This window comes from Homo sapiens, chromosome 16, assembly GCF_000001405.40.
Source record: "Homo sapiens chromosome 16, GRCh38.p14 Primary Assembly".
NCBI lineage: Eukaryota > Metazoa > Chordata > Mammalia > Primates > Hominidae > Homo > Homo sapiens.
The window spans coordinates 25620838-25638949 of NC_000016.10; the positions used below are offsets into that span (position 1 = coordinate 25620838).

Below are 18112 nucleotides of genomic sequence, written 5' to 3' on the forward strand. Positions count from 1 at the left end.
ACAGAGAGAACACCAAAGAGATTCTGAATCTATGCCAAGCATTGTAATATACGAATTTATACAGAGAGCATGCTCATGTGCATTTGCTCTAGAGCCTCTTCCAGTCCATTCTCTATGCAGTAGCCTGGGTGATCTTTGAAAGTCACAAAGCTCACTATATCACATCAAGCAAAGAGCTCAGCGGAACCTGGCAGTGTCACTTGATCCTGGCTGTGCCTCTTGGGTAGGAGGATCAGAAGGAACACAGGTCCTTTAAGCTTGTGGGGATCAGATGCCATGAAATTTGAATTTGGCTGCTAGCTTGGGGCACTGCTGAGAAATGCCAGCTTTTATTACCTGGAAATCTTGAAGACTCCTGTTCAGGTGAAAATTTAAGTTCAGGCAAAACTCTGTTTGCTAAGGGTGGCAGGGGCATCATCATCATCTGAGAGTCTGAAGAGTTTGTCCAGCCCCACTCATCAGGCAATCCTGCTTGCTTTAAGGCTTTTTAACTGGCATCTCATTCCTCTTGGACAAAACTCTAAGTTCCTTGCATTGCATACCAACCATTGCAAGAACCGGTTACTTCTCCGTGTTCACTATATTTCAGCCACACTGACCTCCTTCCCTTTCTTTCTTTTCTTTCTTTCTTTCTTTCTTTCTTTCTTTCTTTCTTTCTTTCTTTCTTTCTTTCTTTCTTCCTTCCTTCCTTCCTTCCTTCCTTCCTTTCTTTCTTTCTTTCTTTCTTTCCTTCTTTCTTTCTTCCTTCCTTCCTTCCTTTCTTTTTCTTTCTCTCTCTCTCTCTCTTTCTTTCTTCTTTCTTTTTTTTTTGAGGCACAGTCTCGCTCTGTCACGCAGGATAGAGTGCAGTAGTCCTATCTCAGCTCACTGCAGCCTCTGCCTCCCGGGTTCAAGCGATTCTTCTGCCTCAGCCTCCTGAGTAGCTGGGAGTACAGGCGTGCACCACCACACCCGGCTAATTTGTATATATTTTTAGTAGAGACAGGATTTCACCATGTTGGTCAGGCTGGTCTTGAACTCCTGACCTCAAATGATCCACCCACCTCGGCCTCCCAAAGTGCTGGGATTACAGGCATGAGCCACTGCGCCCCGTCTCCTTCCCATTTTTTGAAAGCACCATGCTCCTTCCTGCATCTGGGCCTTTGCACATTCTGTTCCTTTTGCTGGGGGCTCATAGCTTTGCCTTAATTAACTCTTACTCTCCCTTCAGATATCAACTCAAATGTCACTTCATCAGGGAACCTTTTCCATACCCTTGAAAAACAAATTTTCTCTAAGAAGGGTGTTCCCATCAGTAACCTAGAGTTTTCCTCACAGCACTCAAGTATATTTATTTATATTGTTCTTTTGTTTGATCATGATCTGCCTTTCATCACTAGCATGTTTTCTCCATGAGGTCGGTAATCATAGAGTCTGTTTTCTTTACTATTATATTCCTAGTGTTGAACCCAGTACCTGGAATATAAAAGATACTCAACAAATATTTCAAAATGTAGAAATGAACCTTTAGAAAATCCTTGTTTAAGTTAAAGCTATGCATCAGTAAAATTAGGAAACCTCAGTCCAACTCCACCTATTGCCTGGCCCATACTAGGGGTTTCATAAATATTTGTTGACCAGCTGACAGATATGGAAGGAGGTAATGAGGGATGCAGTCCAAACAGTCTTCCTGCCCTCAGTATCTCCTTTCCAGGCTATAAATTCAGCCACGGGCATCCTCCCATCCACCTCTGCCTCCACCTGCATCCTATGGTCCTCTGAAATGCTTTCCAAATTCTGCCTCCAGAACCCACTTGCTTTGTTTTGCTTCCTCTCTGTTGCTGATTATCTGCAATTCCTTCTCTTTGTACGCTTGATGGACCTAACGATTCTATTGCTCCGCTCCTTTGCTCCCTGCTCTGCCACTGGAAACAAGCCCATCCTCCTCTGGGATTCTGATATTGGTTCTTTTCTCTGTGTGCTGGCCTCACTTTCTCCCATGCTCTGTTGGTCTTTAGAGACCACAGCCTTTGGACATCACTCAGGAAAGGAAGTCAGATAGTCATTTCCCACTGTGATTATTATTGCTGTTTAGGACATTTAACCGATCACCAATTAACTTATAAAACCAGAGAGCAGAGTGGCCTGCATTTTAACTACACGACCAGGCAAGGCACTAACGCCAGGCCTCTGTGCCTGACCAGATGGGCCATTTGTGGATCAGTTACTTTGGCCATTGGCCACTCCAGGCACGGATGGTTATCATCTTCCAAGTGGCCGAGTATAGTGGTGGCTTCATTTTCTGGCAGGGTCTTGGCTGTAGGAAGAATTATGAAGTACCAGGGAAAGAAGTTTGTTGTGTATTAGTTTCTTGGGGCCTAGGATGGAGTCAGGGTCCGCATCCCAAGTAGCCTCTTGGCATTTTCCTCCTGGGCATACGAGCTACTGTATATATTTTGGACAAAATACAAAGAAGAATCTGATACGAACTTCAACCTTGACTGCATATTAGAACAAGCTGGGGAGTTAAAAAAAAAAATCCAAGTGCCTCTCTCCTCCATACATGTATTTAGGAAAGTTACCATACATCAGTATTTTCAAAGCTCCTAGAGAAATTTCAATGTGTCTCAAGGCAGAGAACCGTTGATCTAGGACAGTGTTTCTCAAACCTGAATGTGAATAAGAATAATCTGTGGAACATGTTAAACACAGATTCCCAAGCCCTAGCTACAGAAATTTGGATTCAGCACTACTCAGCCATAAAAAGGAAGGAAGTAATGGCATTCGCAGAAACTTGGATGGAGTTGGAGGCCATTATTCTTAGTGAAGTCCCTCAGGAATGGAAAACCAAACATCGTATGTTCTCACTTATAAGTGGGAGCTAAGCTATGAGGACACAGAAGCATAGGAATGTGATATAATGGACTTTGGAGACTTGGAGGGAAAGGGTAGGAGGAAGGTGAGGGATATATGACTACACATTGGCTGGGCGCGGTGGCTCACGCCTGTAATCCCAGCACTTTGGGAGGCTGAGGCGGGTGGATCATGAGGTCAAGAGATCCAGACCATCCTGGCCAACATGGTGAAACCCCATCTCTACTAAAAATACAAAAATTAGCTGGGCATGGTGGCGTGTGCCTGTAGTCCCAGCTACTCTGGAGGCTGAGGCAGGGGAATTGCTTGAACCTGGGAGGCGGAGGTTGCAGTGAGCTGAGATCGCACCACTGCACTCCAGCCTGGGCGATAAAGCGATACTCCATCTGAAAAAAAAAAAAAGAAGAAAAAGAAGACTACACATTGGGTACAGCATACACTGCTTGGGTGATGGGTGCACCCAAATCTCAGAAATCACCGCTAAAGAACTTACCCATGTAACCAAACACCACCGGTTCCCCAAATACTATTGAAATGATAATAAATGTAATAAAAAATAAGACAAAAAAGAGAAAATTTAAATCTGGCTGCAATAATAAATGGTTCTCTGAAAAAAAAAAAGAAATTTGGATTCAGTCATTTCTAGAGTGGGGCCCAAGAATATACATTTCTTAAGCTCCTGGATGATGTTGTTGCTGCCTGTTTACAAACCCCATACACTGAGTAGCTCTGTTGTAGAGCTTCGCTTTAGGGCAAATTGTATGCTCACCAAGGAGTGGGAAACATTAATACATAAAGGGTGCAAACTTGCAGCATCTGGGCCAAATTTAGCTAGCAAATGTATATTATATGACTTGCATACAGTATGTTTTTGACATTTAGAATTGGCAATGCTTAAAAATTGAGATTTGGGGCTTCTCTTGAAAAACCGGAAGAACCCTTCTACAAATACTGGGCCTGCTTTCTTATGTGATAAGGACTGAAAACAGAATATATGTGCTAAAAGCTGCTACAGAAACTATTTCATTCTCTGTGTGATAGCTTCATGGCCTCTGCAGGCATTTAAGTTTGCAGCTCCTAGTTTACACCCTCACCCCTTCACCTGTTCTAAGGTTGAAAATCCACTGGTCTCAAGCATTGTATCTTGAGCCATCCCATTTTATCCCTGGAACTTGCTCTATTCATCTGTAAAATGGATTGATATCACCTATTCAGGGTTCTGATAAAGATTAAATGGAGATGGAGATCATGCTTTAAGTTTCATACGTCTGCTTCACCCATGAAATATTCCTGTATCCAGAATTTATCAAAGTATAGTCTCTAGACCCCCAACATTAGCATCACCTGGGAACGTTAGAAATGTAAATGTTTGGCCGGGCGCGGTAGCTCACGCCTGTAATCGCAGCACTTTGGAAGGCCGAGGTGGGCGGATCACGAGGTCAGGAGATCGAGACCATCCCTCATCTCTACTAAAACTACAAAAAGTTAGCCGTATGTGGTGGTGGGCATCTGTAGTCCCAGCCACTCGGGAGGCTGAGGCAGGAGAATGGCGTGAACCCGGGAGGTGAAGCTGGCAGTGAGCTGAGATCGCGCCACTGCACTCTAGCCTGGGCGACAGAGTGAGACTCTGTCTCAAAAAATAAATAAATGAATAAATAAATAAATGTAAATGTTCTCCATCCTAGAACTAAACGCTCAATCAATTACCAGGTATTTCAGGGAAAAGCGGAATTTTGCATGGATTTTAGCATGCTCAAAATCCCATCATAAATGCCATAATTTATATGGAGAATTGAGACAATCAAGATCACAAGTGGCTGAAGTTTTGCAGGTGAGAGAGACCAAGAGGAAAGGTTAGTATTGCAGGATGGAGCTTTCTCACTGCATTTTCTCTGGAATCCCTCTTACCTGCTACCTGCAGGCTCCTCTATGCTCCTGTCATGAGCCAATGAGCCAATGAGCCAATGTTGGGTGAAATAGAGACTTATTATTCATCTCAGCTCCAGCTGGACTGAGACTTGGTGTCTAGGTTACCTGCTCTGAGCCCTGGGCACTCACAGGCTTCTAAGAGTATATCTAGTTTCACCACATTGCTCCAATCCAGACAAAGGGCTTATTGTCTCAGTTCACCTAGCAGGCATTCGAGTTCTAAAGGACAGATCCGCAGCCAATGCTATTGCCATCTGCCTGTGCTGACTCTGGGTTCTGCCTGTGGTCTGGGCTTCCCTAACTTCATCACACCCATTGGATTGGGCCTCATCAGGTCATGATGTCTCCTAAACCTGGCCTGAAAGTGCTGCTCCATTTTAGACATTATATGGGCCAGCTCTGTAGTGAGGTCAGTTTCTTTGCTCTCTGACTCCCTCCCTGTCTACACTGGCTGAATTTCTAAAATCCAGGATGGCTATGACTAGCATCTGCCTGAGGAATAGCAAAAGGGAACTGGGGTCAAATGACACTCGGGAGGAAATTGTGAAGTGACTACATGCTATTCTTAAGGCAAGAGAAGGTGCGGTACAGAAACTTCACACTAGAAACTTCTTTATCTTGATTGGGAATAGAACATGCATTGAAACAGCAGTGAAAAGGAAGGTGAGGAGATAAAATATTTTTCTAAAGGTGATGATGAATACATTGGGATGGATTACAGAAGGATTCCATAGGAGTTCTTGCTCTGGTAGTTTTTAAAAAGTGACTCAGCAAGAATGACTCATCTATCTGGGATGAATTAGGTTTAATAGTGATGAAAATAGGGCTGGACTGTGATTTTTCTGGATTGCTTCTAAGCAGAGGGATTATTCGATAATAATGATAATAATGATAACAATAGCAATTATCTTTTGAGTGACAGGTATTTTTATTGATAGTTTTTGTACATTATCTCAGGGATCAGCAAACTCTCTGCTATAAAGGGCCAGATAGTAAATATTTCTGGCTTTGTGGGCCACATGATCTCTGACGAAACAATTCTTAAATCTGCCCTTGTTGCTCAAAAGCAGCCATAGACAACAAGTAAACAAATGGGTTTGCCTGTGTTCCAATAAAATGTTATTTACAAAAACAGGTGGCAGGCTGGATTTGGCCCACAAGCTCCAGTGTGCAAACTCCTGCATTATCACATTGACCCTCATGATACTGGGAAGTAGGTACTTGTATTATTCTCCATTTCACAGGTAAGGAAACTGAGTCTTGGAGGGATTGAGCAGCTTGCGTGAGATCCAACAGTATGTGTCAGGCCCAGGAGTCCAGCTCAGGATCTCCTAAGCTATCATGGCTAGGTAAACCCTTCTGCCCCGAGATGGGTCTCCTCATTGAAACCATCCCTATAAACTTTATGAAAGTAATCAGGGAGGAAGGGAGGGGAAGAAATAAAAATAAACCAAGCTTGCAGCACACACAGCCTTAATCATGAGGTCAGCATGCTCTCTGATCTGCTTCCTTGGAGTTATTTGGTGCCAACTGTAAAAGTTAAAGACCAAAATCTGACCAAAATCAGCCAGAAGCCCCTCTCAGGTTTATTTCTCTTGTTTCTTTAACTCTTACACCAATTTTCCTAGGATCATGTAGATCTTTGTATTAGGCCGTTCTTGCATTGCTGTAAAGAAATACCTGAGACTGGGTAACTTATAAAGAAAAGAGGTTTAATTGGCTCACAGTTCTACAGGTTTTATAGGAATCATGATGCTGGCATGTGCTTGGCTTCTGGGGAGGCCTCAGAAAGCTTCCAATCATGGCAGAAAGTGGAGGGGGAGCAGGTATGTCACATGGAAAGCAGGAGCAAGAGAGGGAGGGAGGAGGTGTCACACACTTTTAAACAGTCAGATCTCATGAGAACTCACTCACTATTGCAAGGACAGTACCAAGGAGATGTTACTAACCATTCATGAGAAATTTGCCCCTATGATCCAATAACCCCACCAGGCTCTACCTCCAACACTGGGGATTACAACGCAACATAAGATTTGAGTGGGGACACGGATCCAAACCATATCAATATTGTTACAAGATTATAGTTTCCCTTAACTGTCCTATAGATAAGAATGTGAACGTTATGAAACATTAAGTTTTTCCTTTGAGATATTTTTTCAGGTTCTGCATACCAGTGAAACTACTGATGCCAGCTGGTCTAAAGGATTCCTTGAAAAGCTGACTCATCAAAGAAGGCAGTTTTCACATCCTGATGATTTCATCCTCCTTACCCCAACCAATCAATGACCCCAATTTTCCGGCCCCTTACCTTCCATGGTCTCCATCAGAACTCCTCAGGGAGATAGATTTGAGGATCTCCTGTCATCTCCTTGCTGGGTGCCCTGCAATCATTAAACTCTTGCTCTGCTGCCAACCATGCTGTCTCAGTGTAATGGGTCTGTTACAGTGTAGCAGACATACAAACCCATTGGTCCTATAACATCGTGATTCCTTGTGCTGCAGATTCAATTCTTTGGTCACTTAATGTTTATTAAGCAGCCTCAAGGTACCTGCTATGCTGCTTAGTTTTTTGTTTTTGTTTTTGTTTTGTTTTTTTTCTGAGACGAGTTTCACTCTGTTGCCCTGGCTGGAGTGCAGTGGCACCATCTCAGCCCACTGCAACCTCTGCCTCCCAGGTTCAAGCAATTCTCCTTCCTCAGCCTCCTGAGTAGCTGGGATTACAGGCACCTGCCACCATGCCCAGCTAATTTTTTGTATTTTTAGTAGAGATGGGGTTTTACCATGTTGACCAGGCTGGTCTCGAACTCCTGACCTCAAATGATCTGCCCGCCTCGGCCTCCCAAAGTGCTGGGATTACAGGCATGAGCCACCATGCCTGGCCTGGTCTTTTTATATACATCATCTCACTTAACAATCAGAATAGGTGCATGAGGTAGCTACTATTATCCCCACTGAAGGCCAGAGGTTCAGAGGATGAAGCACAATTCTCAATGTTCATTTTTTAAAAACTTTTTTTCAACTTTTATTTTAGATTTAGAGGCTGCATGTGCAGATTTGTTACCTTGATATATTGTGTGATGCTGAGGTTTGGGGTATGAATAATCCCATCAACCAGGTAATGAGCATAATACCCTACAGTTAGTTTTTCAACCCTTGCCCCCTCTGTCCCTCACTCCCTTGTCTAGTAGTCCCCAATTTGTATTGTTTTCATCTTTATGTCCATGAGTAACCAACGTGTAGATCTCACTTATAAGTGAGAACATGCAATATTTGGTTTTCTGTGCCTGTGTTAGCTCACTTAGGATAATGGCCTCCAGCTGCATCCATGTTGCTGCAAGGGACATGATATCATTCTTTTTCATGGCTGTGTAGTACTCCATGGTGTATGTGTACCACATTTTATTTATCCAATCCACCATTGATGGGCATCTAGGTTGTTTCCTTTTTTTGTTTGTTTGTTTTGCTTTTTTTTTTTTTTTTTTAAGACGGAGTTTTGCTCTGTCACCCAGGCTGGAGTGCAGTGGCACAATCTTGGCTCACTGCAAACTCCACCTCAAGGGTTGACACCATTCTCCTGCCTCAGCCTGCTGAGTAGCTGGGACTACAGGCGCCCCCCAACACGCCTGGCTAAGTTTTTGTATTTTTAGTAGAGAAGGGGTTTCACCACGTTAGCCAGGATGGTCTCCATGTCCTGACCTCGTGATCCGCCCGCCTCGGCCTCCCAAAGTGCTGGGATTACAGGCATGAGCCACCATGCCCAGCCGGTGGTTTCCTTTTATTTCTTATTGTGAATAGTACTGTGATGAACATGTGAGTTCAGGTACCTTTTTTGGTAGAATGATTTATTTCCTTTTGGATATATACCCAGTAATGGGATTTCTGGGCCAAATGGTAGCTCATTTTAGGTTCTTTGAGAAACCTCCAAACTGCTTTCCACAGTGGCTGAACTAATTTACATTCCCACCAACAGCATATAAGTGTTCTCTTTTCTCACAGGCTCGCCAGCATCTGTTGTTTTTTGACTTTTAAGTAATAGCCATCCTGACTGGTGTGAGGTGATGTCTCACTGTGGTTTTAATTCGGATTTCTCTGATGTTTAGTCATGAGGAGGATTTTTTCATCTATTTGTTGGTTGCTTGTATGTCTTCCTTTGAGAAGTATTTGTTCATGTCTTTTGTCTACTTTTTATGAGGTTGTTTGTTTTTTGCTTTTTAAATTGTGTAAGTTTTTTATAGATTCGGGATATTAGACCTTTGTCAGATGTGTAGTTTGAGAACATTTTCTCCCATTCTGTAGTTTGTCTGTTTACTATGTTGATAGTTTCTTTTGTTGTGCAGAAGCTCTTTAGTTTAATTAGATCCTGCTTGTCAATTTTTGTTTTTGTTGCAAAAGTAATTGCTTTTGAGGACTTAGTTATAAATTGCTTCCCAAGGCTGATGTCCAGAAAGGTGTTTCCTAGGTTGTCTTCTAGGATTCTTATAGTTTGAGGTTGAAATTTAAATCTTTAATTCATCTTAATTTTTTTTATATGGTGAAAGGTAGGGGTCTAGTTTCATTCTTCTGCATATGGCTAGCCAGCTATCCCGGCTTCAAAGTCCATCCTTAGTGAGAAGCTGAGCTGAGAGTCAAATGCTGGGCTCTCTAAGTTCAGTGACCTCCCCTCCAGACCATCTTACCTCCAGATTTAAAAAGTCTTGAACAATTCTTGAATTCTCAAAGCAATACATGTTTCTTGCAGAGGAATTGAAATAATCATAAAGACGATGATAAAGGATCACTGATGATCCACCTTCCAAAATCAACCTCTGCCACTAATCAGATACTTTTCTTCCATCTTGATCCATGATTATTTATCCCTTACAATTACATACTAAATAAAATATTTTATGTTAGAATATTATATAGAAGGGAAACATTTTCTTATGTTATAAAATTTTAATAAAAGTACCATTTTTCTGACAACATATTTTCCATCAAAGGATATAATTTTAACAATGTGGGTACTTTTTTTCTATCATAAATGCATGGTTTTTTTTGAGACGGAGTCTCGCTCTGTCACCAGGCTGGAGTGCAGTGGCATGATCTCAGCTCACTGCAACCTCTGCCTCCTGTGTTCAAGCAATTCTCCTGCCTTAGCCTCCCGGGTAGCTGGGACTATAGGCATGTGCCACCATACCCAGCTAATTTTTGTATTTTTAGTAGAGATGAGATTTCACCATATTGGCCAGGCAGGTCTTGAACTCCTGACCTCAGGTGATCCGCCTGCTTCGCCCTCCCAAAGTGTATGATAAACGCTTTGATTACATTTTTCTATAAAATACTTAATTTAAACATAAAAATTGTTTGTACTTAAGGTGTACAGTATAATGATTTGATATATGCATACATTGCATAATGATTACCACTATCAAATTAATTAACACATTCATCACTGCCCATAGTTACCATTGTGTGTGCATGCACGCATGTGCGTGTGTGTGTGTGTGGTTAGACACTAACTTGTAGAAACAGAGTGGAACAGTGGTTGTCAAGGGCTGGGGGTTGGGGAAATAGAGAGATGTTGGTCGAAGAGAACAGACATTCAGCTATAAAATGAATGAGCTCTGGAGATTTAATATAACATGTACACAATGGTGACTAGAGTTAATAATAATATATTGTTTATTTGAAATTTGGTTACATTCTTGTATATAAATCTCTATCTGAATCCTAATTATTTGTCTATGATAAATTTCAGGAAGGATAATTATTGCTCCAAAGGGTTTTAATTATTTTTAAAGATCTTTACACAATTTCAGATTGCATTTTTTAGAAATTTTTGCTAATCTTTATTTCTTTCAGTAGGTTAGATTTACCTTACCCTAAAATCAACAATGCTTTTTTAAATTATGATAATTTTATGGATTAAAATATTATCATTACATTTTTTAAAAAATTTCAACAATTTTAAGGGTACAAGTTGTTTTTGGTTATATGGATGAATTGTTTAGTGGTAAAGTCTAGTATTTTAGTGCACCTGTATACCACCCCATTAGTGTACATTGTACCCAATAGGTAGTTTTCATCTTCACCCCACTTCCACCCTCCTCTTTTCTGTCTCCAATGTCTATGGTACCACTCTATATGCCTTGCATACCCATAGCTTAGCTCCCACTTATAAGTGAGAATATGTGGTATTTTGTTTTTGATTCCCAAGTTACTTCACTTAGAATAATGGCTTCCAGTTCCATCCAAGTTTTTGCAAAAGACACTATTTTGTTCTCTTTTAATGGCTGGGTAGTTTAAATGTTGCAGTTTTACATTGCATTTTATTGACAAGTAGCAAGCTTTTTGTGTTTTTTTATTGATTTGTCAGAGCTCTTTATATATAAAGGATACTAATAGTTTTTTTCTGGAAAATATTACTTCCACATTTATATTTGCCTTTAACAGGAAAATAACCCATCTCTATTTACTTGTAATCTTATTCATAGCAAAAGATACTCGTTCATTAGCATTTCACAAACTGAGCAGCCAGAGAAGTAGCAACAACTATTCTGTGTCTGTAAGTGCAACTTCTATTTCTATGAGTAGAATTTACCAGGTGGCTAGAAATCACAGGCATAGAGGCTTAACAGTTTCTCCCAGCTCTCTGCTACAGACTGCACACTTGCTGGGATGCACTTTCATGCATGAAACTTCAGGGTAGAAATTAGCCCAGATGAGGTAGCCAGGTGATACAGGGAAGAGCTTTTGAGGCTGAGGAAAGAAGGGCTGTCTTTATTCTGTAGACAGCCACAGGCACTGGTTACCTCACCACTCTTTCAGATAAATACAAGAAGGCAACAAACAATATAATAACAACTTTGTTTAAAGGCTATTTAATTGAAGCTTCACAGGAACCTCATTTTCATACTTTTTGCTAAATTTAAAACAAGAAAAATGTTATGAAGCCTGACGTAGTCCCCTTCTCAATGCTCAAGAAATGTTTCATTTTGAGGAAAAATAACCCTTTGTTAAGTTCCTTATTTGGGGACAAAAACATTTCTTTCTATGTATTGGAACAGGCTAGGGTAGTGTTTTTCAATCTTGAAACTATTGAGATTTTGGACCAGGTAATGATCTGTTGTTAGGGACTAAAGAATGAATGAATGAATAAATGAATGAATGAATGATCCAATAGTAACATTTAAATGTTTGAAGAATTGTGATATGAAAAATTCACGCTTATTTTTCCTGTTGGTCCATGGAGCTAAATTAATTTCAGGGAGAAAGAAATTGGGATCTGTGCAAGAAATCTCTGTCATAATGAAAACTACGCAAAGATAGAAGGGTCTACCTCCAGAATTAATGAGCTCCTATTCACTGGAGGCATTCAAGGAGAGACTGGGTTATTCTTACGCAGGATGTTGTACAAGCTGCTCATACAAAAGATGGGTGATTCAAAGTTTCAAAGTAGCTTTTAATCACTGAAATTCTAGAAATCTGTGTTTCTTGATGTCTTTCCTTTAAACTATTTCAGCTTCAGGTAGTACTTCCACTTGAGGAGCTTACTTATTTTAAAACCAAAGGCAAACTTCTAGAGTGATCGAAAATCATCACACATATTATACCTTCTAGGAGGCTCTAGAAAAATGCTTTAAATAATTTGAGTTAGAGGTTTCCTGCAACAACAAAAAAATGCTATTTCCATTACCCCAGAGCTGTAACATTCTTCGTGTTCTCTGTACCTTATTGTTGAGAATAATCAAAGGAGTCCATTCAGTAAGGTAGGGGCGGGGAGCACAATAGATATATTAATATATGGGGCAGGGGGGAAGTATTGTATTCCTAGGCAGTTTTCATAATTGGTGTTACAGATCTTTGGTTGAAATTTCAGGCTTACCCTGAACTGAGATCTAACTTTCTGGAGCCCTAACTCTTCTGAGGGGTTAGCCTTCTCTTCCTCCTACTAGAAATTATGGATGAACAGAAGGCATGGATTAACAGGCATCATTTTTACTAAAGGACACAGGTCTGCAGAAGAGAAGTCAGCAAGATCCATGGGTCAGCAGGAGCCATGAGTCATTTGCAGCCGTGACTCAGAGGTGGCTATGAGTCACCAGGAGCCATGGGTCAGCAGGATCCATGGATCAGTAGGAACAAGGGGTCAACAGAAACTGTGGGTCAGGTAGAAGTATGAATCTGTAGAAACCATGAGTCAGTATGAGCCAAGATTCATCAGCTGCACAGGTCAGCAAGAAACATGGTTCAGCATTTTTTTTTTTCTTTTGAGACAGGGTCTCACTTTGTCACTTGGGATGGAGTGCAGTGGTGTGATAGCTCAATGCAGACTCGAACTCCTGGGCTCAACTGATTCTTCTGGTTCAGCCTCCTGAGTAGCTGGGACTACAGTCATGTACCACCATACCAGGCTAATTTTTTGTTTTATTTGTAGAGACAGTGTCTTGCTATGTTGCCCAGGCTTGTCTAAACTCCTGGGTTCAAGGAATCCTCCCATCTCAGGCTCCCAAAGTGCTGAGATGACAGGTATGAGCCACTGCACCAGGCCCTGCAGAAACTTTTCTTGGCACCACGGGTAAGCAGGGGCTATGGGTCATGGGACTCATTGCCAATGGGAACCATACATCACCAGAAAGACTCAGGTAGTGGGGGAAGAGGACAAAAGACACTCAGAAAGATGGCAGTGCTAGATTTGAAGGTGACTGATGCCAAAAGGTAACGGAAGCTATGATTGAACAAAAGCTAAAAAGTAACAAGAAGTTGAGTGGAGAGCACTTGGTTTTAATACTATCAATAGTATAGGGAATAAGTAAGCTACCATCATAATAGGCTAGGAAACAATGTTTCCAAGAGGGTAGCAAGACAGCCAAGTGCATATAGAAGCATTGAATCCTGTGATCTAACTCCTGAACTACATTCTGTCTCTGTGAGAACTGGCAGTTTGGCAATTGAGATTTTTGTCTTTCCTAATTTCCCAGGTATCCTTACCATGAACATCTATTGCTAATTATTTCTTTATGTTGGATGCCTAAAAGAGAAATTCTTCAGACATATTATATGAGTTTAATTTTCTTGGGTTCTTGACACATATTGCTACATTACTTTTCAAAAAATGTATAAATTTACTCTCTCCCATCTTCTAATTAAAATACTTACAAAAGTGTATTCTCAAAGGTACCAAGTTTCAAGAGGAAGTGAAAATCATTAGTTTTGCTATCTTTCAGGAGTTTCTAGTACAAAAAATTCAGATAAATATCTGAAATGTAGAGCAAGAGGGCAAAGGAGATTGGTACTTGCCATCCTGACTATATATTCTACCATGTTAGTCAGAACTCTGGGTTTATAAGGGAAAGAATCCATTTCAAACTGGCTGAAGTCAGTAAAAATAGTTTATAAGGGCATGAAACTTGGAAATCTATTAAGTAGTGTGATTTCAGGTGTGGCTGGATCCTGGGTCTTGATGATGTCAATCAGGATATAAACATCTACTCTTTACCCCCACCTCGACCTAGTGGTTGAAAGTTCTGAATGGTCAAGTCAGTTTCGTGCAATGTCCTCCATGCTGGAGACAGATATAGAGGGAAATTTCATGTCTCCACCCACTCCAAGCTACCTGACTTGGGAAAGTTATGGTTTTATAATGGAGATGGAGTGGGCAAGTCAAAACACATGACCACAAGCCCATCTTATAAACATGGGGGCTTCAGGACATCCTTCAACTGGGTAGAAGCTGCTTTTGAAACAGTTCAAAACTGTTTGAAGTTTTCCACTTGTATAGTGGCAAAAAGCACAATTACTTTTGCACCAACCTAATTTCATTTCATATGTCTTCTAGAATCCAGGCTACAATTTACAATGGTACAACTTTACAGGCTAGGGAAAGAATGGGCTGGTCTGTTATATCCAAGAGGTGGAGTCAATGGCAGTGATAGTTTGTGCCTGGAACAACCATAGAAACGATCCATGAAAATGCCTTTTAAGTATGATTTTTAATAGCAGCATAATAGTCTTTCACTTTGGGGGAGTGAAGGTTGATGACACACCTGCTATTGTGCAACATCTGGAAGCTTTCTGTTGACAGCAGCCTGGTCCACTTAGGCAGAGGAAGTCCCTCTCCCCCATAGTATCCTGGAATAAGGGGAGCCAGTGTGATTTAATTCAGGCCCTTCCAAAATCTTGCTAAGCAAAAACAACTGTCCCTAAGTGTTCAGGAAACATCAACCCATCCTTCCCCTAACATGTTCTTCTTCTGGATAAAAACATTTTCAGAGTATCACATGCTCCTGAAAATGTACTTCCTTGTATGCGAAACCTGCTAACAGTCCCCTTGAGAAGTGTTTGAATGTGTAATGAGTGCCCAGGCTCCTGGTGTCAGATCTGTGATGGAGAGGATTCTCTCCCCAAGGCAGCATTCACTCCAAGAACTTCCACCAGGTGACTCTGGGGAGCAGTTGGTGTTAACTCCAGGCTGCTGTGGTCAGGAAATCACTTTGCATAAGAACTCAATCCTCTTTTTCCTCAAGGCCCCTATTCTGTAATATAAAATTGGGTCTCTTTTAGGCTGGTCAGAATCTGCTTTCCTTCCCCTTCCATAGAACCTGCCTCTAAGGGATTCCAAATCTATCTTTATGGGCTACACCATTTCGTGGGGGACACAGATGTGTAATTAAGTCATGATGATACAGTTTGAAAAGTACCAACTATAAGACTAATCAAAATGATAGAGAATCTTAGGAGAAGGAGGAGAAAAATTTGCCCAGGAAATCTAGAAAACTTAGGAATAGAGGAAGCAGTCAAATTCAGTCTTGAAGAACAGGAGTTTGTCAAGAGGCAGACCATGAGGTCAGGAGATTGAGACCATCCTGGCTAACAAGGTGAAACCCTGTCTCTACTAAAAATAAAAAATAAAAAATAAAAAAATTAGCTGGGCATGGTGGCACATGCCTGTAGTCCGAGCTAATCGGGAGGCTGAGACAGGAGAATCACTTGAACCTGGGAGGAGGAGGTTGCAGTGAGCCGAGATCACACCACTGTGAGACTCCGTCTCAAAAAAAAAAAAAAAAAAAAAAGAAAAAAGAAAGCTAACATTTGTTGAACACTTACTGTGTGCCACTCATGGTTCTAGGTGTTTGACATGTATTACGTGTATTAATCATATAATATTTACATGTTATTACATTCCTTTAATCCCACAGCAGCCATATGAAATGGGTGCTATTATTCCCATTTTACAGATAAGGAGACTGAGGCCCCAAGAGGTTAAATTATTTGCCTAAGGTCACACTTCAAGTAGGTGGTAGACCTGGAATTCCACTTAGACATTTTTATTTCAGAGCTTGTGTTCTCAGCCTCTTTGCCATTCTGCCAGAAAAAGCAACTGGATCAGTATAATAAAAGGTAAGGAGGCATTGTGGTGGTTTAAATATATGTCTAAATTTTTTCGATTTTTTTTTTTATTACAGCTGGAGTCTAATTTCCCTCTCCTTAAGTATAGGCTGGGCTTAGTGTCTCGGTTTCAGTAAAAAATATCAGAAGTGACAAGTGTATGGCTTTGAAGACTAGGTCATAAACAGCAGTGTGGTATCTCTTCGCTCTCTTCCTCAGATTCGTAGCTGGGGGAATGCCAGCCGCCATGTTGTAAAGATGCTCAAGAAGCCCCCTGGAGAGGTCTGTATGATGAGAACCCCTCACCATGTGTCTGGCCAACAGCCAGCCAGGAACTGAGTGAGGCCTCCTGCCCACAATCACATAAGTGAGCTTAGAAGCTGATTCCCCATTCCCAGTCAAGCCTTCAGATGACTTCAGCCTTAAGCAACGTTTTGATTGCAACATCCTCCGAATCAATAACTAAACTAGTCCAAATTCTTGACTCACAGATACTGTGGGAAAATAAATGTGGGTTGTCTTAAGCCACTAAGTTTTGGGATAATTTGTTACACAGCAACAGATACTAGCACTGGCATGAGAATACCTTGTGTCTTCAATGTACATCAGCAGTCAGTATTTCAGAGCTGAAAGCTCAGACTTTAGAGAGGACTGGCAAAGAGGAGTGAGGTTTTTAGGAAAAATTATAAAGCACGACAGCCAGTCTGCAAGCACATAGGACCTACTTACCAGAAGCAACTCTCTAGCTCTCCAGTCCCTGGCTTCTCCAGGAAATGCCTCCATTTCTATAACTTCTGGTTTGTGCCACCATATTGCTTTTATTACATTAATCCTTGTTGTGCAGCCATTTGCAGACATACCTTTCTTTCTGACCAGATGGCAAGCTCCTGGAATGCTGAGCTCACATTTTATTCCTCTTCCTCCTTGCACACAATCCTTTGGTCACTGCAGGAGCCCCATAAATGTTTGGGGGATGAATGTTGCCCACGCAGAAGCCACATGGCTGATAAATTGACTTTTATTCAATTCCAGCCAACATGCAGTTTTCTTGTTTTTGGCCCAGAGAATCATGTCTGTGAGAAGGATGGATGGAAACTCAAGAGGCAAATTAGTTTGAAGTACTGGTAGAGCTGGACAGTTTAAACAGAGTGGTGTGGAATGATTAACACCTATGTGGACTCAAGAACAATGCATAACAGAACTTTAAGAGTGAACCAATGAAGACACAGCAATAAACCAGGGATATTCTTGGGGGTAAGGAAGGCTGACCACTAAAGGAAATACATGTCAGTACAACCTGTAGTTTCTATGTACCATTTGAATTAATCTCCCCATCCTCCTCCCATCTGCCTTGTTCTCGCCACTGTTTGCTCAGCTCCTGCACATACAATACATTTGATATATATCTATTGAATGAAAAAATGTTGATTTAGTCTATAACTAATAATCGTGGCACTCCACTTCTCTAGATTGTTCCTACAGAGGAGTTGGGTCTCATGTTTGCTTGTGTTTATAGATAAAGAAGGATTTCATTCAGTCATAGAAGGCTAGGGACAGACATATCCTGGCATCAGTAGGCAGGCAAAGGTTATCAGAGCCCTAGGAAGTGCAGGACAATAATAAGTAAGAGAAGAGCTTCAACCATGTCAGTGTGTGTAGGAGACCTCTGTTCTTTTGTGGGCTATACACTATGTTCTCCTTCTTCTTTAATAATAGTTCCCTGAGTTACACTGGAAAACCATCCTTTTGCTTCTTTGTCTGTATGATTTGAATAAAGAGAACTCTCTGCCTCTGCATCCTGGGAAAGACAGGTGCCCCAGACTTGGTCAATAGAAGCTCTGTATTCTCCTGGCAACAGTGATTTGTTCTGAAATGGGCAAGTGACCCAGTCGAAGCCAGTGAGATTCAGTAGGACTTTTGCTACCACTGCTGGGAGAGAACTTGCCGTCTTTTCTGCTGCACT

The 18112-nt window shown here is 41.3% G+C and overlaps 1 annotated feature.

Moving 5' to 3' along the window:
* Positions 12208-13407: an enhancer, noted in NCBI's record as "P300/CBP strongly-dependent group 1 enhancer chr16:25644366-25645565 (GRCh37/hg19 assembly coordinates)". NCBI's record gives its function as "activates an origin of replication core promoter dependent on BRD2, BRD4, P300/CBP, MED14 and CDK7 cofactors, with strong dependence on P300/CBP, by STARR-seq in HCT116 cells {active_cell/tissue: HCT116}" and the evidence as "EXISTENCE:reporter gene assay evidence [ECO:0000049][PMID:35650434]".